The 22,566-nt window shown below is 40.6% G+C and overlaps 1 protein-coding gene and 1 long non-coding RNA gene across 2 annotated transcripts in view, besides 2 other annotated features; one reads left to right on the top strand and one right to left on the bottom strand.

The window, feature by feature from the left end:
• The first annotated feature begins 426 nt into the window (after positions 1–426).
• C12orf42 (chromosome 12 open reading frame 42) overlaps positions 427–22,566 on the top strand; it is a 516,167-nt gene continuing 494,027 nt past the window's right edge. Inside the window, exon 1 of the mRNA XM_047428803.1 lies at positions 427–570. The gene's annotated coding sequence lies outside the window, so the exon portion shown is untranslated. The remainder of the gene's footprint in view (positions 571–22,566) is intronic.
• Positions 2,581–3,780: an enhancer, noted in NCBI's record as "CDK7 strongly-dependent group 2 enhancer chr12:103954215-103955414 (GRCh37/hg19 assembly coordinates)". NCBI's record gives its function as "activates an origin of replication core promoter dependent on BRD2, BRD4, P300/CBP, MED14 and CDK7 cofactors, with strong dependence on CDK7, by STARR-seq in HCT116 cells {active_cell/tissue: HCT116}" and the evidence as "EXISTENCE:reporter gene assay evidence [ECO:0000049][PMID:35650434]".
• Positions 4,402–16,423, bottom strand: LINC02401 (long intergenic non-protein coding RNA 2401). The gene is made up of 5 exons (NR_110103.1): positions 16,292–16,423; positions 15,237–15,549; positions 14,620–14,719; positions 13,646–13,755; positions 4,402–6,805 (listed from the first exon to the last, which is right to left on the bottom strand). It is a non-coding gene; the product is annotated as a long intergenic non-protein coding RNA 2401 (long non-coding RNA).
• Positions 15,292–15,586: a silencer, noted in NCBI's record as "tiled region #5508; HepG2 Repressive non-DNase unmatched - State 12:CtcfO". NCBI's record gives its function as "represses a minimal TATA promoter and a strong SV40 promoter by Sharpr-MPRA in HepG2 cells {active_cell/tissue: HepG2}" and the evidence as "EXISTENCE:reporter gene assay evidence [ECO:0000049][PMID:27701403]".

Raw genomic sequence — 22,566 nt, 5'->3', positions numbered from 1 at the left:
CCCTGGGGTGACTTGTGCCAATGGCTTGATCTCCAGGGATCCCACAGCTCCTTATGAACCTGCTGGTCCTCTGTGGTTGCCAAAGTCAGAGTATATTCTGCGGTATATTTGTGGGGGTTGTGGTGATGTGGTGACACAAGGGCTGAGGTTCCTTGAGGAGGGCAGTGGCCCACCATGGGTGCATAATCAGTATGGCATCTGCTGTCTCAGTGTGAGTCTGAGGGGAGTGTGAGCACACCTGCCCAAGGTGGTCACTTGGTGCTCTATCCCCAGGAAGATCGAAAATTGCCACTGACAGCATTGCCTAGGCCTGCAAGGGCAAAGAGGCTCCCTGACATTTTGGCTGTCAGCAGTTTATCACAGAGGTGAGGGGAGTGGAGAAACACCCCTACCTACCTTTCCCATGGTATTCCAAGTTCCTTGGGGATCAATCTCTGCCCGACTCTTGCTGCTTTCCTTTTCTGTGTCCCAACTTTTTTCCATGTGCTCTCCAGCAGGTCCTGGATGTCTTCCCTCAGTTTTTCATGTGGATCATGACCTGCTGGAGGATGATAGCCTTGTGGAGCAGAGGTGAGTCACCCCAATAGTCTCAGCTGAAGCTAGTCTAGATTACCTAACAGTCAGTGGACTCCCAGCTGCATGAGTGAGCTAAGATGAGATAGCAGAATGCCTAGGTCAAACCCTAGCTGAACTCAAATGTCTGAGCAAGAAATGCCTATTTTTGTATCACAAAGAGATTTGGAGACATATTTGTTATGCAGTGAAAACTTACTGATACATAAAATCAGGGAATTTCATTTCTGTTCTACCCCTTAAATGCTAGGCTTGTTTATTGTGCAACTGGGACCACCAAAACAATTCTAGATCTTGTCTAGGGTAGACAAATGATCAATTGGCTGTAGCATATCATGGTAATTGACAAGGGGATCAGAGGACATCTGGGCTTAGTCCAGGATACACATTCCTGGGCTAGACCAGAACCAGATTGACCTTGAGGCAGGAGTCCTGGAGATGCACTTAGAGATGATTCACTGCTTTGCTGGACAGAAGTACCCATGAAGACTTACTTGTTCAAGGAACCTGAAGAGCATAGGGATACCCATCAGTAGCACAAACTTGGTACACTAGAAGCCAGGGATTGACTGCTAACTCTTAAAAGAAACCCTCCAGATAGCTTATTCATCAAGCGAATCCAAACTATTTGTTCATTGAAGTAAGGGATCTCACTGCATTGACATATTTTAAGTAGCTTCACAGAAGGGAAGGTGTTATGTCAGAGGCAATGGTTAAAATGTTTTAGGGGTCCGGTTAATGTGAGTCTTTCAATGTAGGGGCCAAAATGATACAGACACACTCTGATACATAATGGTGTGGGACTGATGATGTCCATAGAGAGGTGAGGTGTGGAAGGGAGTCTGAAAAGTAAGCAGTTATTTCATGAGCCCCACTGAGAATTCTGAGGAAGGGCCTATCCCCCTGATGTGGGCTTGCTGAGTCATCTGTTGTTTGGATAAATGGATTTTCAGAAAGTTCCTGAAACAAACAATGCAGTATTTGGATTTTCATCTTCTTGGCAAGAAATTTCTGAAATGGTAAAATCATGTTGGTGCTGAGTGTGGGACAGTAGGGTCATGTCACTGGAGGCAGTAAGCCATGCTGAGGTAAGGATTTCTGTTCTCTAGAGTCAGGGAAACCTATGTTCTTCCTGTGTGGACTGGGAAATTGCATGACTTCTCTGCATGGCCCCCTTTCACTGGCAGAATGAGGATAATGATAATTCATTTGGCAAAGTGTTGCTGTGAAGACTGAAGGAAAGAGAGCAGGGGATGTGCTAACACAATGGCAGGTATACAGGAAACGATCAATTGATCAGAGTTATTCCCAGATTCCAATGGCCAGAGACTCACACAACTTTAGCAGAAGTTCTGAGGTGTAAGATTTTGGTTATTCCAACCACTAGCATGAGAAAGGGAAGAAAATACAGCAGCCCCAACATGGAACAGACACTCCAGCATCAGTAATTGAGTTTGAAAGGTGTGAGACCCCTGGAAACTGTAAAAAGGTGGAAATTATAATGATGCATTTATAGCTTTACGGAAAGGAACTGTTAGAATAATAAATTGATTTTGCCAGCCCTGACTCAGAAATCCTCCTGCAGCAGAACATATAATCATTACTTGCTTTCAAGCCTACGGAAGGAATGCAGCTGTACTGACCTGCCTTGGACTTCTGACCACCACACTGTAAGGTAATAAATTTGTGTAAGGCACAGATTTGTGGTCATTTGTTTCAGCAGTAACAGGAAACCAAAACAAGAGGAGGCATAATACTTTTTTAAAAGGGAAAGGGGTCTTGAGATCAAAACATTTGAAAAGTCCCAGATCATCTAGTGTAGTAATATCGGCAGAGAGGAGGGAAACACGATAGTGAGACAAGAAAAGACACACCAGGAGCCAGGTGGCAATGGTGCCTTGGACCTTATCTTCCATTTTTGTAAAGGGTAAGGGTGCAGTTCTTTGTCTTTTTGTTTGTTGTTTGCTTTAAGCAGTGCAGCCCTGGAATGGACTGAATGTTTCTGTCCTCCCCAGATTCATACGTTGAAATCCTAACCCTTGATGGGATGGTATTAGGAGGTGGGGTCTTTGGGAGGTGATTAGGTCATGAGGGCGAAGTCCTTATTAGTGAGATTGCACCCTTATAAGAAAAGGCCTCAGTGAGTCAGCCTGCTGTCCTTCTGCTGTGTGAGTTTACATTGATAAGTTGGATGTCTGCAACCGAAAGACTGCCCTTACCAGAACCTGGTCATGCTGGCACCCTGATCTTGGACTTGCAGCCTCTAGAACCGTGAGAAAGGAATGTTTGTTATTTAAGCTACCCAGTTGATGGTAATTTGCTATGGCAACCCAAACTAAGGCAAACCCTTTCTTCAAACTGGAAGGAAGCCTCATGTACAAAATCCACAAAGCTGGGGCTTGCTCTGGTTCGTGTGAGAATGTCAGGAGCTCCTGCCCCCTCTCCACAGCCACGGAAGAGGCTCCTTGGAGCACAGTGTGAAGACCCCTGCCTTGGGGTCTGAAGTCACATTAGCATTGTAGTGCCTAATAATTCACCCTGGGGGAGAGAGGATTCCAGAGTGATCAAGCAGGGAGATATGCTGGGATAGGGCCTGATTCCATGAGGTAAAAGTCTCAATGAAAATGAGGTGAATAAATCAAGAAGTATTTCAGGTAGCAAGTCAGCCAGATTTGATGTGGATTGAATGATGTGGGTGAGGGAGAAGGATGACTCCCAGTGACGCCTAGATATGCTATTGTGGATGAAATATGTGAGAACAATGACAGCAGCTAATATTTATTGAGATGGCACCATATACTGTGTACTTTGCAGGCATGATCTTGTTGAATCCTCAAAGTGACTAAGAGGGTATGCACTCTTTCACCCCCATAAAGATGAGTCATGGACTTTGCGTATGACTAGCAAATAGCTGAGCCAGATTCCAACATGGGGAGTCACACTCCAGGGCCTGTATTCAACCATTGCTTGTCCTGTTGGTGACTGACCACTGAAACAGATAGTGGCTGTTTCTTCACTGCTTTGGGCTCAGTAGGCCACTTTGAGAATTTAATGAAAGCTATGTATCCTTGTACCAGTAAAATGTACACAGAAACTTATACATGAATTTTGCTTATGGTTTCAAGGAGTTCTGAAGTGAATCCAGGGATCCTTACATTATCCCCAGATTAAGAACTAGTACTTTTGGATAAGTTTTATTATCCTTATTTAAAAGATGAAGACACTGAGTCTTGCCAAGGTCAATGGATGTGGCCCATGTGTGCCCCACTTGGCTAGTAAGCATCAGAGCCTGATCTTGCATCCACTGTCTCTGGCTTCAAGCCTCATTTCCCTTCCTTTCTTCCAAGTTTCTTTTCCCTGAAGGTAATAGGTTCTGTTCCACAAGCATTTAGAAATCCAGAATTGTAATCTTTGCTCTGCCACTAATTTGTTTGTCACTTTGGACAAAGCAGTCAACCTTGTAGTTTCCCATCTATAAAATGGGGACATTAATGACCAGTATATTTAACTCATAGAGTTTGAGAAATTATAAAGGGCTTTTATTATTTACATAAATTTACAGTCTAGCCTGCAGATAAAGTCTACATTTTCTATAAATTACTGCAATATATTCAGGAAATTATCTAAAAACTTCAATTGATTTGAAATGTTTTGAGGCATTTTTCCCCCTAGTGCTTTAACTGTCTTGAGGCAGTGGTGTCATACAAGTAATTAAACAACTTTGAAGCATTCAGAGAGATGATCATGGGAATAATAATCAATAACAATTACACTTGCTGTAAGATGTAACATAAAGCTGAGGATCATTCATTCCATTCACTCATTTGCTTATTTATAATTCATTTATTTAATGGATACTCTTGGGCATCAATGACATGCCAAGCATAATGGTATGTGGTGGTGATGCCAACAGTGAACAACAATCACAGGTGTCCATTCACCAGTGAAGAGAGAATGTGGACACCTAGTGTCACACACCTGCTTTCTCTTCCATTCCCACCTAACCAGCTTTTGTTACACTTCTCATGTCGAGATGCTCAGGGATGTCACGGGGTTTTTGAGTCTGCTGTTTTCTCTGCCTTAAACACTCTCTTTGGTGCTGTGTCAGGGTCCCTGAGACCATCCTTAGGCTTAATGATTTGCTAGAACTCACAGGACTCAGAAAAGCTGTCATGCTCAAGGTGGAAATTTCTTACAGTGAAAGGATACAGATTCAAACCAGAAAGGGGAAAAAGCACTTGGGGCAAAGTCCAGGAAAAAACAGGCCCAAGTTTCCAGGTGTCCTCCTCCAGTGGCGTCACATGGGCACACTTCATTCTTCCAGCAATAGTGTGTGACTGCCTGAGTAAAGTGCTACCAACTAGGAATCTCCCCTGAGTGAGTGTCCAGAATTTTTAATTGGGGGCCAGTTGCATTGGCATGTAGTACCTGCAGGATTGATGTTGGCTACTCAGACTTCAACCTCCTAGAGCAAGAGCAGGCATTCACCATAAATCTCACTGTTAACATAAACTATGTGATCAAACTGGTACCGTGTTGCCCAAGGCTTTGGGCATAAAGACACACTCTTATCAGGCAGGGCATTCCAAAGCCTCAGAGCTCTTTTCCCAGGGTCATTCCTGAAGACAGGCTTTTCCTGAAAATGTGCAGGGTTTGAACAACCCAGGTTTGCTGAGTTAACCTTTGCCTACACAGGCCCCAGCTCATTGTTTACTTCCTTGGGGATGCCATCCCTAAGTAGGCCAAAATTTTCTAATTTGACTTCTCATAGGGCTCTGTATATAACACTTCTTACAGTGTCAGCTTTAAAACTGCATATGTTATTATTTGTTTAACATCAGTCTCTCTCACTAAATTCTCTCCCTAATGTAGGTAGGGTCTGTTTTTGATCACTGTGTACCTCCCGCACCTGTCAAGGGTCTAGGCCTGGCCCACCGTAGGGATAATAGGGACTGAGTCTATGTGTTTTTGAATGAGTAAATAAACAAAAACCTGAAACGATTAGAATTTACTGTAGATTCTATGAAGGAAATAAACAGAATACAGTGCTAGAGAATGACATTTGGGGTACATGAAAAGATGATATTAAATTAAATCATTGGGGAAGCCCTTTTGCAAAGGAGATCTGAGAGATGAGGAGGAAGTAGACACACACAGAGCCAGGTCAGAATATTCAGGAAGAGGGAAGAGCAAGCACAAAGGCCTGGACAGGCTGGATCCATTCTGGGAACAGAGAGGACATTAAGGTTCCTGGAGTACCGTGAGTGAAGGGTACAGTGAGTTAAAACAGAAGTGGGAGAAGTCTTTTAGTCCACAAGAAGGACTTGGGATTTCATTCTATGTGCAATGGGAAGCTAGGTTTTAATGAAGGAAGTGATATCAATTGATTTATATTTTTAAACATTTTTCTTAGTTGCTATGAAATAATAGATTGGAAGGGTCAAGAGTGGAATCGGGGATGGGCCAGTCAGGAGGATTTGGTGACAGTCTAGCAAGTGATGACCAGTCTAGCAAGAGATGGCATGGGATGGACTAGGGGGCTGGCAGTGGAAATGGAGAGTAGAGGACTGATCTAAAACATATTTTGGAGTCAGAACTCACCACTTGATGGAGGGATAGCAAAAAAATAGAGGAATTCTATAGCGCAATGTATGTATCCTTGGAGTAACTGTGTCAAATGTTGAAGTCAAGCAAGGCCAATTTAACATTTTCAATCATTTTCTAATGTTAAAATGAAATTGGCAGACAGTTCAGAATGAATTCTTAAAGAAGACAAAAGCTTATGTTAGGCTTTTTGGTTTTGAGTCACTTCCAGCTTAGTGCTTTAGCAATCTTAGTTTGGGTTCTTCAAGGAACAGCTTGGGGAAATTCTTAGTTTTGGAGGTGGTCCCAGGAAACACGGGTAGGGAAATGGGGAAGGGGAGACAGGATGGGAAGTGTCCATCATTAAGCAGTTTAGTGTTTTGGGTATGTGGGGCTGGGTCCTGCCAGGGAACCCAGTTGTTTGGGAATCTCAGCCCAGGGTTGGGAGGCTAGGGCATATATACCTCAACTCCAGTCCAACACTGCTTGAGGGATACTCCTGGGGGCTTTTGTTCCTCAGCACATCACCTTGTCATGTGGCCCAGGCAGAGTAGGATCTGGTGACCAGAGGAGACCTCCAGGCAAATACGTGCAGATGTTAGCAACTGGGAGTGGTAAGTCCCGTATGGTGTGGCCTGGACAACAATATCTGCTATGCAGAGGAAATAACATCAGCAGTTAATCAAATGCTCTGTAAACAGAATGTACCATGGCTTTCTCTCAAAGGATTAGATAATTGCACATGTGAACACTCATAAATTAATTTCTGAGCTTTTTTGAGTTAAAAAAGCTTTTGGACATATTTTCTGTGGTTTCTAAACCTTGTGTCCTCTAATGAGCTCAAACTTTCTTCCTATTATTTTATTTTTCTCCTTGCATGGTTCTGGATGAATTCAAATAGTTTCTTGGAATTGAAGATTGTTTCGTTTCCTCTTGGACACTGTACTAGTTTCCTAGGACTGTTGGAACAGATTACCACAAATCTAGTGGCTTAAAGGAAAGCAAATTTATTCTTTCACAGTTCTGGAGGCTATTCAGAAGTCAAGGTGTTGGCAGGGCCACACTCCCTCCAAAGGCTCTGTGGGAGGATCCTTCCTTGCTTCTTCCAGGCCTTTTTTTTTTTTTTCTGCATAACTACAATCTCTGCATCCATCTTTAGATGGCCTTCTCCTCTTCTCCCTCTGTCTCTTCTCTGTGTGTCTCTTCTAAGGACACTTACCATTGGACTGAGGACCCATCTGGTCAATCAAGGATGATCTCATCTTAAGATCTTTAACTTAATTACGACTGCAAAGATGCTTTGTCCAAATAAGGTCACATTCACAGGCTCTGGGGATTAGAACAGGGACATGTCTTTTTGGGGGATGCCATTCAACCCATACAGAACCTGTGAAGATTGTTAGTTTGAACCCTCTGACAAGAATACTCATCTAAATGTAGCTAATGAACATTTTTGAAGACCGATTTGCATGATCTCTCCATAACCAGGTTAATTCTACTAGATTGCTCCCTTTCTGTCCTTCCTCAGAATGATTGCTCCAAAAAATAGGTTGGCACTTTACATACCGAGGAAGCAGCCTCTGAGAAAGTAACACTCAAAGCCAACTTCCTGAAGAATTATTTTGCTGACATGGTTTCTTGAGTTATTGCCTTGATATTCCTTATGACTAAGCCCCGATTTTCAGTCTATGATATTTCAGTGTCAAGTGATGTACCATGAGAAGTTCATGGCTTGGCAGAAATAACAAAATAATATTAGGTATCATCTTTGAGTGCTTATACTGGTCCAGACAATAAGAAATCAAGGAAGGTATGAATATCTCCATTTTCAGATGAAGAGCAAAACTCAGAGAGGTCATGTAACTTTGACGTAGGAATTTTAATGTGTGACAGTCAGGCTTTGAACCCAGGGGTGGGTGACTCCAAAGCTTGTGTTCTTCCCACTATTACATGCTGTATCTGAAGGCAATACAGGACACTCTGTCAGAGTATGTCTTTTATTGATGGTAGCAGATCCTGCTGGTACTCCATCCACATCCCTGGATCTTGCCACATCAGTGTAGGGGACTGACTTCCAACTGCTCTATCTGTGTCTTTTTGCACTGTAGCTTTCTCCCAAGCTGATAGGAGCTGCTGTCCTGCACACAGGACAGGTGAGAAGTGTGGAAGTGGAGTGGGGTGGGGTGGCAGGTGGGGGTGAGGTAGAGGGCAGGAGAGGGGATTAACCACACCCTCCTAGTAGTTCTCAACCAATGACTGGTGAGAGTTGATGTATGAACACCTTTGCTCTCTGGAGGTATAATTCTGAAATGCATGTTCTACACCAGGGCTTCTTAAGCCTCCATGTGCATACAAACACTTGGGGTTTTGTTCAAAATTCTGATTTGGTAGGTCTAGGGTGGCGCCTGAGCTTTGATGTTTCTAACCACATCTCAGGAGATGCCCATGCTGCTAGTCTGCTTTGTATCAGAGCTACTCAAAGTGTGGTCCTCGGATCAGCAGCATTGGCAGGCCCTGGGGGCTTGGTGAAAATGTCAATTCCTGGGCTTCAATATAGACCTACTGATATGGTTTGGCTGTGTCCCCACCCAAATCTCATCTTGAATTTCCACATGTTGTAGGAGACCCGGTGGGAGGTAATTGAATCATGGGGGCAGGTCTTTCCCATGCTGTTCTCGTGATAGTGAATAAGTCTCATGAGATCTGATGGTTTTATAAAGAGGAGTTCCCCTGCACAAGCTCCCTCTCTGCCTGCTGCCATCCATGTAAGATGTGACTTGCTCCTTCTTGCCTTCCACCATGATTGTGAGGCCTCCCCAGCCACGTGAAACTGTAAGTCCATTAAACCTCTTTTTTCCCCCAGTCTTGGATATGTCTTTATTAGCAACATGGAAATGGACTAATACACCTACTGAATCAGAATCTCTGAGGGTGGGACCCAGGAACCCGTGCTTTAACAAGTTGCCCAGGTGATTCTCATGCTCACGCAAATCTGAGAAGCTCTACCCTGCTATTTTCCAGAGATTCCCTGCAGGGTGAAGCCTACCATGACAGGGGGCTTGAAAAACACTCTGTTTTGCCTACCGTCCTTTCCCAGGCTCACTTCCCAGATCCCCTAAGGATATTTCACATTACCTCCCTGATATGGTTTGGCTCTGTGTCCCCACCCACATCTCATGTCAAATTGTAATTCCCAGTGTTGGAGATGGGGCCTGCTGGAAGGTGACTGGATCATTGGCATGGTTTCTAACAGTTTAGTAGCATCCCCCTAGTGCTGTCTTGCGATAGAGTTCTCAGGAGATCTGGTTGTTTGAAAGCGTGTAGCACCTTCCCCTTCTCTCTCTCTTTCTTGCTGGACATTTGAAAATGTGCCTGTTTCCCCTTCACCTTTTGCCATAATTGTAAGTTTTCTGGGGCCTCTTCAGAAGCAGAAGCCTGTACAGCCCATAGAACCAAAAGCTGATTAAACCTCTTTTTTTTTTTTGTAATAAATTACCCAGTCTCAGATAGTTCTTTATAGCAGTGTGAAAACAAACTAATGCACCCCCAAATGGACTATTTGCCCTTAAACCCTGGTCTCAGGGTTGGCTTCTGGAGAACTCAAACTGGGAGAGCAGTTTATTAGTTTGCATAATTATTGGTCTTTAGCATGTTTAAGCTTTGCTTAAATGCTTTTGGCTGACTAGCACAAACCTTTTATTTTTAACTCTTGGGCTACAAGCTGGATATAATCCCTTTTCTCCCCACCACCTGGTTTTCAGTTTTTCCCCTTTTCTTTCCAGGCTACTCTTATATTTATATTGGCCAAATGTCATTTATATCTGGGGTAGGAAAAGCATAGTGCCCTGATTTTGTTAACATAGTTTTTTGGAACCCACCATGCCCATTTGCTTATGGATTGTCTATAGCTGCTTTGGAGCTCTATCCACAGAACTGAGTCTTTAAGAGAGATCACATGGCCTGCAAAGTCAAAACTTTCCTCTCTGGTTCTTTATAGGAAGGTTTGCTGATCCATGACCTATATAAAAATAGGTGACTTGCTTTAACCCACTTCTCAGCCCTCCTGCCACCCCACCTAGGCTAGTCTGTTTCTGAGACTTCCTTCTGAGGGATTTGCTGGTTCTCTCCTCCCTCAAACTGGTGCAAAGGAAAGAGCAGTGGATAAGGTGTTGGGATACCTGGACTGAGTCCTGGGTCTGTCCCTTTCCAGCTGGGGGATCTTGGGAAAGTGACTTCCCTAGAACTCCTCTGTCTCCTCTGGTAAAATGAAGATCAGCATTGTCCAAACTTCACTGATCATAGGAACCATCTGGGCACTTACTAAAAACAGATTCCCAGGCTTTACTTCTGAACACAGTGAGCAGGTGGGGCTGGGGTGGGGACTGGGAGGCTGCACATTTGCCAAGCATCAGGGGAATTTAGGAAACTGACTCAAACGATTTCTAACGAACTTTGGATGCTAAAATACTATGGTCTTATAAATAACACTAATGAAATTGTTTTTTTCCTGTTGATATACAATGTTGCTGGTGAAGACGGTTGAGATTTCATGGTCTCTTTGAACCTTTCAGGAGGAGGATGGGAAAAATCTTTTCTGGAAGTTGGAATGCTTCCTTGTAGACTGTGTTGCTCAGAGAAGCTGTTTCCTTGTTTTAAGGGCTGCAGTACTATTAGGACCATCTCCAGGGGAGGACGGATAACTAAGTGAGCCTGCGAGTCATATGCCTTCTTATACTAATACTTCTCCAAACCTTCATTTTTGCTGTTAGAAAGAGAAAAGGTAGGATTCGACCAGTGGCTCTCAACCAGGGGTGGTTTTTGCTCTCCAGGGGATATTTGGCAATGTCTGGAGACTTTTGGTTTTCAAACTGAGAGGAGGAATGCTACCGGCATCTAGTGGATGGAGGCTACAAATGTTTAACGCCCTGCAATGCACAGGACAGCCCCCGCGACAAATAATTACTCAGCTCCTGATATGGTCAGGCTTTGTGTCCCCACCCAAATCTCATCTTGAATTGTAATCCCCAGGTGTTAAGGGAGAGACCTGTTGGGAAGGGACTGGAACATGGGGCTGGTTTCCCCCATGCTGTTCTCATGATAGTGAGTGAGTTCTCATAAGATCTGATGGTTTTATAAGGCAGTTTCCCCTGCTCTTGCTTGTTCTCTCTTGCCTGTTGCCACATAAGATATGCCTCTTCCCTTTCCACCATGAGTATAAGTTTCCTGAGGCCTCCCCAGCCATGTGGAACTGTGAGTCAATGAAACCTCTTTTCTTTATAAATTACTCAGTCTTGGGTATGTCTTTATAGCAGTGTGAAAATGGACTAATAACAGCCTCAAATATCAATAGTGCCAAGGTTGAGAAACTCTGGATTAGACCCATGTGCTCACCAGTGACATTTGTGAGGGTGTAAATGGACCCAGTATTTGTACCAAATACCCAGTATTTCTACCTCAAGCATTGTCTCTAGGGTGAAAATGTCCCAAATTTCATTTGATCCCCATAGAGATATTTCCTTTTCACCATTCCCTTGTAGCAAGTACTCACTTCTCTTGTGAAACCAATTAAATTTTACAGGAATTAATTATTTGTCTTTTGTTCCTATCAACTATGGCTTCCTAAAGTCAGTATTGATGAAAATTCCTTTTGTGTTTTTTTGTTTTTAATAAATAGATTTGATAGCATCACCAAGTTTATTCTCAGACAGGCTTAAAGGGAAAACTCAAGGAGTTTCAATGCTCTCTGACTAACGGGGGAAATAGAGCCACTTATATCAAAGTGAGGTTACAGAGCAAAGCTGGAGAGGCTACAGATAGTGAGTCAGTCTTCATATCACCAGTGTTCACACTACAATTTAAATGAGCAAACCTAATTTTCTACAGCATGTCACCTAACAAATATAAGTTCCTATAACAAACACAGAGTGAGTAAATGCAATTTCTCATAACAAAATGCAAACAAGCAAACCTCAAGGTCAAGGTTCATTCCATAAGAGATCACAATAAACAGTTTAAGTTAAAAAAAAAAGGTCAACATATCACAGAAGTGTTTCTTGTGAATAAATGAGCCAAGGCTCAATTTCATGATGACTGGATAAAAAAGTCTGTATAAATCTCACTTGAAGGAATCATCACCCTAACTAGACTAAGGTGATTCTCTTCCTCCTCCTCCTTCTACTTCTTTTCCTTTTCTCTTCTTCTTCTTGTCATCTTATTATTTTATTATTATTATTGTTATTAGTTTGAGACAGAGTCTTGCTCTGTCACCCAGGCTGGAGTATAGTAGCAAGATCTTGGCTCACTGCAACCTTCACCTCCTGGGTTCAAGTGATTCTCCTCTCTCAGCCTCCTGAGTAGCTGGGACTACAGGTGCATGTCATCATCTCCAGCTAATTTTTGTGTTTTTAGTAGATATGGGGTTTTGCCATGTTGACCAGGCTGGTCTTGAACTCCTGACCTCAAGTGATCCATCTGCCTTGGCCTCCCAAAGTGCTGGGATTACAGGCATGAGTCACCAAGCCCAGCCTTTAATATTATTTTTTGAGAGACAGGGTCTTGCTCTATCACTCAGTCTGGAGTGCTGTGGCATGATTATGGCTCACTGCAGCCTCGAACTCCTAGCCTCAAGCAGTTCTACTGTCTCAGCCTTCCAAAACATTAGGATTACAGATGTGTACCACCATGCTCAACCATATTATTATTATTTTAACTATGTCTGAAAGAATAAACAGTTATAAATATCTATAGAAAATGTTGAAAAAGAAGAGTAATAGACACTTGCCTGCTTAGATATAAAATATATTATAGAGCCATGACAACTAAGATACATGGTATTGAATCAGAATCAACAATTCCTGAAATAGATTCTTCACTTATGATCAAGAAAGAAAAAGAAGTGGAGAAACAAGCAAGGGATTGATTTCTAAATACTTAGAAGAGAAGTTATTCAGGAAAAAGTGAAGCTATAACAGCTAACATCATACTGTAATAAAAATAAGTTCTTAGGTATTCTATTTTAAATATAAAAATAACACTATAAGTGATAGAACAAATTGTACATAAATATGTAACTGATTCTAGACATTGGATTTCTAAGAATAAAAAAAGAAAACTATAGATAATCCTCATTGTAAATATAATTAAGGGCAAAAATTGAAAAAGCATTGCTTGCAACAGATATAACAAGGGCTAATATCCATAATGTGTAAATTAATAAGACATTAATAAGAAAGCAACAACATCCTAATAGAAATATGAGGCAAGATACATATAATTTACAAATATAATACCATGTTATTTGATACATATGATGTTTTCTGAAAAACGTACAAAAGGCTAACTTTTTTTAGCTATCAAAGAAATAGAAATAATAATGAGATAATTTTTCAACTATAAAATTTTGGGCAAAGTTTTAAAGATAATTATGATTTTAGCAAAGATGTAATAAATGTATGTGCTTGCACTTGGCATAAATGTAAATTGTAACTACCTTTTTGGAATCCAATTCATCAGCAGAGGCTTGTATCAAGAATCTCAATGAAATGAAGAAAATTTGACCCAGTTGTTAATTATGCAAAGATGCTTATATCAAGTTTATTCCTAATAGCAAAAAAGAGAAGAGTAAATGTTAAAAATATGGAAATAATGAAATATATAAACAGTATATTAGGACGATGGAATACTCTACAAATATTGAAAGAGTATTTCATGAGCTTTGAGACAGTTTTAACAGGAAAAGTTACCACTCAAAACTTAGGACCCCATGACTTTGAGTATAGTTTTATTCTGAATTAAGTGAATATATTCTTTTTGCATGTTTATATGTTTATACAAAAGTAGATGAATGGATGTAGGCACAACTGAAAGAAAAGGAAATTCGTTAAAATATTAATATTGTATTATTAATGGATGAAATTATAGGTGATTTGAAAGTTCTTTTTTATATTTTTCATTATCTTTGTTACTTGCAAATATTTATTATATTTATATGTAATAAAAGGAGTAGTTTCAAAAAGAAAACTCTGATATCTTAGAGCCATGGAGTTACTAGAATATAATTTCTGACAGGGAACTTTACCATTTTTGAGATGGAAAAACTGAGACTCAAAGAGTGTGGTTGCAGCCTAAAGTAAAACAGGCTGTCAGCAGCACATGAGAAATAGCTTTAAAACAAAGAAAGGAACAGGCAAAAGTGCTTGTTAGGGCCTCGTCAGCCATCTGAACGAACAGCGGCTGACAACTCCAAGAGTCTGTAATTTGTATGAATGTCATTTGTATAGATGTCTGGAAGATTGGTATATCAAGTGATCTATTGGGTAGTAATTTAAAAAAATGACTGCCATTGTGAGTGAAAAGCTGGGTTTTAACATTGATCTACCATGTTCAGAAAATCCACTTAAGCATTACCTTTTTAAAACACCACTTTTAATTTATCAATTGTTTGATAAATTCTTCTTCCCTTACCTCCCTTTATCCTCTCTTCCTTTCTTCCTCTCTGCCTGTCTTCAGCAACATATAAAGAAAGTCATCTATCTGTCAGGCACCGTACTAGAAACCAGGGACTCTAGAATGACAGAGACATGAAAACGATCTGCACACACACAAACAAGTGCATGTAAAGCTGGTGAAGTCTGAACAAACTCTGTGGGTTGCATTCATTTCAGTTTCCTGGTTTTGATCATGTACTGTAGTGATGTAAGATGCTACCATTGCGGAAGTCTGAGACACGCATGGGACCTCCCTGCACATTTTTAAATAAAACTTCTAATGTATCTACAATTGTTTAAAAATAAAAAGTTGAGAAAAAAATAACAAACCAAACCAACCCAACCTAATAAGTACTGTAAAAGATGTATACACAATGTGATAGAAATAGAGAAGGAAGGACTAACTCTGTGAGACCTTATAGATCTTCATAGAATAAAAAATGAAAACACATAAAGGGTTTAGAAGCTCATAAAGTCTGAACAGTGACACTTAGTAACATAGATATTTTAGAATTGGAAGTGTTTTTGAAGTTCAGCAAGAGTTGGAAAATCAAGTTTATGGATGAATTGACAGGTCCATAGAGGTGAGGTTACCTGAAGTGAGACTAGCTCGGGTCATGACATTTTCCAGGTGTTGTAGCAGGAAGTGACTTTGTCGTGAGAACTCAGATTTTTTTCTTGGGCTTTTGGATCCTCAGAAGTCCAAACTGGTTCTCCCCACTGTTCCAAGATGCATGTTCACAGAATGCCCACCACGAGGTGGCAGTAGAACATAAGCCATCCCCATCAAAATTACTCAGAGGATGTGTGGTCGGAGATGGAGTCATTTCCACATATCTTTAATTGTATACGTTAATCACGACTGTTATGCTCATATGTTATGTTCATTATAAAATATGCCCCAAATCTAAATATTAAAAGTTGATGCAAAGATGAAGTAAGCAATTCACATGTGATGTCTTCATTCTATCAATAGCTACTATCTTAAAGCAAAATATATACTTATTCTGTTCATAGTTCATAATTAAAGAGAGTGGATGTATGTCCTTATTTCAAATGGCCTTTTCATAATTTTACCTTTTTGAGCTCTATTTATGTCGAGTTTCATTAGATGGTCATTGTTTTTATCTAAATCGTGGCTGATTAGTACTTGGAGGAGTGGCATTTAATATAATTAGTTTGAATTATATTCAATTGCTATCTTTTAAATATAAAAACTGAGCAAATATTGACAGTTTCATGTAGTTTAACCTGTAGCTGCCTTATCTGCGTTATCTTCAGTCCGCATTTTCTTTGGCAGAATTCTTTTTTAAACACTTGTCCATTTTGGAAGAACTGATTAATTTTATGTTAATTAGGTAGCAAAGGGCTATCTAAGCAAAGGGCTGCGGCACCTCCACGTTGGGGAGCTCTTGCTCCTCACTCAGGATTCCTCACTTACCTGGTGTGACCACAGACCCCTGACGCAGGCCCCAGGCCAGAGCCCAGTGTCAATTCAGATTAGTAAAACCTTATTTTTTTCATCATATTTTCAAGTAAAAATACATATAAACTGTTTGAACAAGATTTTCTTGCAATGCAGTGGATTATCTTACTGTCTAACTTGCTCATTTTACAAATGAAGAAATAGGCCACGAGAAGCCTATTACCTTAGTTTCACACAACACTGAGCCATGTTGCACCATGTGACACCACACTAGCACTCTCCATTGTACACTCAAGGTGGGGAAGGGAAGAGAGCTTTAAAAAAATCCCAGTCTTGGATTCGCTGTTAGAGACCTGTGTTGTCACAGTGTGCAAATCTTATTTCATTGTCTCCAGAATTCTGGAAACCTTCAGTTCCACACTGAAATTGGAGAGTTTGGAATGTGGTACCTTTTACAATACCTGCCTTGGAAGAACTTCGTGCTTAAGGAAAAGCCTCCTGCGTTCTTTCAGCCCCTGAAGCAGATCACATATCTTTCCCCCTGTCTAGCTTATAAACTACTTGAAGGCAGTAACCATGTCTAATTTGTTTTTCTATTCCCTCAGGGGTTGGTTCAATGCCTGGCACACAGAAGGTTGTTTAATAAAATGTTTACTGAGTTGGATGGAATTTCCATGTAAGACATTTAAATTTAGACAATCACGACCTGATTGAAGATTGTATTTGTACAGGTATAGTAGGACACTATTCAGGGCTTTTCTGAGTTATAGCTCTCAGCTCGGTCCAATAGAACTTTCTACAATAATGGAAATGTTCTGTATCTGAGCTGTTCAATGCATTAGCTACTAGCCACAAATGTCTGCGGAGCCCTTGAAATATGGCTAGCGAGACTGAGAAATTTAATCTTTATTTAGTTTAAATGTAAATAGCCATTATGTAGCCAGTGACTACCTCATTAGACATGGGAAGGAAACATACTGTTTGCTTTGACCCTACTGAGTTTTTGGCTGGGGACCCTGTAACAAAAGACAGATTAACAAAAGAAAAGCATACATACATTTATTTAATGGAAGTTTTATATGACACTGGAGCCTTCATAAGGAAATGAAGACCCAAAGAAGTGGTTAAGTCTGAGTGTTTTTATGCCAGGTTTGATGAAGACTGGAGAGTCATGGAAGAATGTGGTTGGATAAAGGTACAAGCTAAGGGTAATAGAGTGGAGGAAACTTAGCAAGGCCTGTTCATCATCTCCGTGTCCCTGTGTCTTTGGAGACAAAGATGTTCCTTTTCTCTGGGCATAAGGAGGGTACTTCTCATGTGAGGGTTTTATAGCCTGCATTAGGGGAGGGTCAGAAAATCTTTCCTTCACCTGCTGTTTCTCAAATTCCTTCAGCTTAAAACATTTTATATGCCAAAGTGCCATATTTTGGGACAGCATGTCCTAACCCCTGTCATTCAGTTGGAAAATATAGATGATAAAGTATTAAGTTTTAGTATCTTCAAGCTTCAACGTCTTTCATTTTTTTTCTACAATGACTTCCATCAAAACACCTGACCCTTTTTGTAACTTCTCACCATCAGGCGACTGAGGTTCTATTTTTCCCCATTTTCTTGTATCTTTTAAGATTCCCAGGAAATATTCTTTCTGCTAAGTGTTTATTTTGTTCAACCTGTCATCTAAGCAACCAAATTACACACAACATAAAAGCAACCACAAAAGGAGTGATAATTAAAAAACAGAATTGATCCTATCATCCCCTTAGGGAAGATGTGCCCTGGATCCTTTCAGAGGGAACACTGACAGGACCATTTGTCCAGACACTCGAGCTCAATGAGACAATATTGGTTTTTCCATAAGGACAAATCTGTAACCTCATTTTCAAAAAATCTATATAATTTACTTTGCCACTTAAAGAAGTTAGTATTGAATCATTACATGCTGAGTTTCCGAGATTCAATTCCTTGGCTATGTGGTCACCAGTTTAACTCCTACCTATTCTTCAGTGATTGGCGTCATCCCCATCTCCTCAAGGCGACTTCCCTCACTAATCAGATCTCCCTAGGATACTTTCTCTCAGTGTTTAAACTTCTCTCAGGGTTATCATGAAGGCAAAATAATGCATAAAAACCACCCACTTAATATCTGAAATATAGAAAGTGCTCAACTAATATTAGTTGTCTCTATTCATAAACTAGAGGCATTCTGTCCAGATGGAGAGTCTGAGCCATAGTGAAGTTCATTAAATTGAGCTTTGGGATTAAGACTGAAGGCCAAGTCATACAGAGAGGAAATAATTCCAAGGTTGTGAGCAGTCCAAGGTGGGTACTGTGAGTGGTCTGAATGTGGAATATAGAATGATGCAGCAGAAGTGGTTCAGGACTGATCTGGGAAAGAGAAGAGAGTGCTATAGGTACATTATCATCCAGAGCTACCTGAGTGGCAATTTAAGGGACCGGTGGAGGATCATTGGGCCAATTTCTTTATTGCTGAGCAAGGTAACACCTAAACCATCAATGCATTTTTTCTGTTACATTTTAGTCTTTGCCATAGACTTATTAACGTTTACAAATTTGGAAGAATATTTTATTGCACATTTTATTAAGTTGTATATTTTCCCTCTTAAATAGTTTTTTCCCCTTATTTTCTCCCACCATCTATCTTGCCTTTCTTAGATATTCTGAAGTGACCAAATACATAGTTGCATATGCAACTCTTTACATCTTTGTTTATGCTCTTCTACTTATACAAATATATTTAAATGTTTTTTATATTTATTTCTACAAATATTGGGTTATATTATATACATTTATTTGCAACTTGCTTTTATACATCATGTATACCCAACATCTGCTTCAACTGTTCACAAAAAACTTGGAATGCGTGCTAGAGTTGGTATCTAGTCTTATTCCCAATTTAAAACAAACCTGTTTTCTATTTCTGAAAGAATGGTAGATAAGATTTCCTGAATTACCTGCCAGTGAAATCCTCAAATTCAGAATTTAAAAAATCCTAAGATGTACTAATGAGCTGGTAGGAAGGAAAAAATCCAAAGAGGTAATCAAATTACTAAAGACACTTTCCATTTGAGGCTACTTGCTGAAGCCCCAGCTAAGTTGAGTTTTTATTTTCATGGTCTTTTAGGGACTGGAGAAAGTGGGGGAAAAACTGGATTCCATTCAAAGTGGGAAGTGTAAGGAGAGACCTGAGATAGTGCTGGGAACCCAAAGTCCTGCACAGGTTGAGCGTGTTGAGGTAAACTAAAAATAAAGCTGTCCACCCCTCCTAGCAGGGAACAGGAAGAAAAACTGCATGCCTTGAAAGTTGGTACTAGATAAAGCGGGAAAAAAAATCAATAGATGGATTTAACAGTGGATTAGACATAGTGAAAAGAGAATCAATGAACTGAAAAATAGGTCTGAAGAAAGTATTCAGAATGAAGCACAAAGAGACAAAACAATAAAAATATTTAAGAAAGGTTAGGAGACACATAAGATAGACTGAGATGGTTTCATATTTGGTATTGTAGAAGAAGAGAAGTGAGATATGAGGGAAAGGGAATGTTTGAGGAAATAATGGCCAAGTATTTTCCAGGACTGATGAAAAACATCAGGCTTCATATTTAGGGATCCAATCCATCCCAATCAGGGTGAAGGAAAAGAAATACACCACCTGGAAACGTCATAGTCAAATTCTGGAACACCTGAAGAAAGAGAGTGTCTTAAAAGCAGCCAGAGAACAATAGACTATCTACAAAAGAATGGCAATTGTAACAGAACTGACTTCTGGATAGCAATGATGAAAGTCAGAAGACAGTGGAAGTTTGTTAATGTACAGAGAAAGTAACTGTCAACTTAGAATTACCCAGCAGAAAATCTTTTAATAGTTTAAGTGAAATAAAGACATGTTTAGGAATAATAAAAACAGAAGAAATTTGCTACCAAGAGACTCTTATTATAAGAATTCTAGGCCGGGCACGGTGGCTCACACCTCTAATCCCAGCACTTTGGGAGGCCGAGGTGGGTGATTGAGACCAACTTGGCTAACACAGTGAAATCCCGTCTCTACTAAAAAAAATATAAAAACAAAATTAGCTGGGCGTGGTGGCAGGTGCCTGTAATCCCAGCTACTCAGGAGGCTGAGGTGTGAGAATGGTGTGAACCCGGGAGGTGGAACTTGCAGTGAGCTGAGATCGCGCCACTGCACTCCAGCCTGGGCGACAGAGCAAGACTCCATCTCAAAAAAAACAAAAAACAAAACAAAAAAAAAACCCAAAAACCAAACAACAACAACAACAAAAAATTCTAAAAGGATGTACTTGTGGCATAATAAAGATATTCCCAGATGGAAGATTCTTAGATGAAAGACAGACTGATTAGTAAGAAAGTTGTAAATATACATGTAAATCTAAAACCAACATAAATTGTATAAAACCTTTATGGTGATAAGCTAAGACAGAATTAACTACATCACACAACAAAAGCAGGGGCACTGGGAAGTGGGTGATTGGATTAAAGTGTTTTAAGTTTTTTTTTTTTGAGACAGATTCCCATTTTGTTACCCATGCTGGAGTGCAGTGGTGTGATCATGGCTCACTGCAGCCTCAAACTCCTGGGCTCAAGTGATCCTTTCACCTCACCCTTCCAAGTAGCTGGGACCACAGGCATGCACTACCATGTCTGGATAATTTTATTAAAAAATTTTGTAGAGATGGGGGCCTCCCTATGTTGCCTAGGCTGGTCTCAAACTCCTGGGCTCAAGCAATCCTCCTGCCTCGTCTTCCCAGAGTGCTGGGATTACAAGTGTGAATTACCATGCCTGCCCGGCCTAAGAATTTTGCACTGTATAAGAAGAGAATAAATAGTCATGAGTTGCTTAATAGTGGGAATACATTCTGAGAACTGCATCAGTTTCTTTTTCTCTGGCCTCTTCTCCAGCTATGCATTTCTGTTGCAGTTCCAACAACTCCTCATTAGTCAGCTCCTTAAGAGCCACCTCTAGGAGCTCCTCAATGTCATCCTTATTCACATCCAGGTTAAAGTTCTTTGTCATCTCAACCACAGCCTGGTTGTTTTTACAACCTCCTCATCCTTGGCAAATCCTTTTTAATCATGGGCAGTCCTCTTGAGTGTCTTCTTCCAGATACCATTCACACATTCCTTGGTGACATCACCCCAAACCCAAGCAAGGTTCCTGATGCAAGGTTCTGGTCGTAGATGTTGTAATTCTTTCAGAGTTGCATCTGTGTCTTCTCAGTGTCTTTCTCTGCTGCAGCAATAGTGCAGGCAAAGGTCCTCCTCAGATAGTAGACCTTAAAAGTGGCTATAACTCCTTGATCCATTGGTTGAATCAAAGAGGTGATATTTGGAGGGAGAAACACTGCTTTGATGAAGATCACACATAAAAGGAGGATGTGCAGGAGCATCATCAACAATAAGCAAAATCTTGAAGGGGATGTAATTCTCCAAATAGTACTTCTCCATCTCTCTGGCATAGCAATTCAGGAGGGCTTCTTGGAAGGGGAGCTAGATTATCTACAACTTCTTATTGTTCCTGTAGTACATTGGCCACATGCACTTGTTCATATGCTTGAAGGCCCTGGAGTTTCCACTGTGCCAGATCACAAAGGGTTTCAGTCTGTAGCCTGCAGCATTGCCCCCAGGCAAGACTTCTGTCTTTAAAAGCCTTGAAACCTGCATCGATGTGGCCTTCTTATGGGTAAAGTCTTTCCGGGCATCTGTTTCTGGAATATGGAGATTTCATTTGTACTGGAGACTTGCTCTGGCAAGTGATTTTGCTCCACATTCAGCTTATCTAGAATTTCCAAGAATTCTTCAGCTGCCTTCACATCAGCACTCACAGACGCACCACTCATGTTCATACTATGTAATGAATAATGATTCTTGAAATGTTTAAACCACCCAGAGCTGGTAGTAAATGCAACACTATAGTCAGGTCCAGCTTATTCTTTCAACATCCCAAGAAAACTTTTTCTTTGACTGCTATTGTCATGGTGCTGACAGGAATATGCTTCTGTATCTGCTCCTCAATGCAAGTCATTAGAAGTTTCTCCATATCTGATGTAGGCCTGTCTCAATTTTTTGTTAGTCTCATTGCCTTCAATGAAGCAGATCCTTTAATAGCTCCTGTGACTTTGTTCATGTTCTTCAAGATTGTAGCTGTGGTGGAATGGGCCATGCCTGACTGGTGAGCTGTGGTGGAATGGGCCATGCCTGACTGGTGAGCAGTAACCATCACTGATTTTCCACCTTCATAGTTCTTCATCACTTTTAATTTTGTTTCAAAGTCAATAACTTGATGTGGCCTCTTACCAGCAACATAAACCATGGCTTTTGTACAATTAGGGGCCATAATGAAAAAAAAAAGATTAAATCAAGCACGAGATAAAATAATACAATCAAGAGACATGGTAAACATGAAATGTACGAAGCTGCTGCCAGAATACTGTTTCACAGTAAACTTTTTTTTTGTAAGTACAC

This window comes from Homo sapiens, chromosome 12 (assembly GCF_000001405.40).
Source record: "Homo sapiens chromosome 12, GRCh38.p14 Primary Assembly".
Taxonomy (NCBI): Eukaryota; Metazoa; Chordata; class Mammalia; order Primates; family Hominidae; genus Homo; species Homo sapiens.
This window is presented reverse-complemented; position numbering and strand designations above follow the sequence as displayed.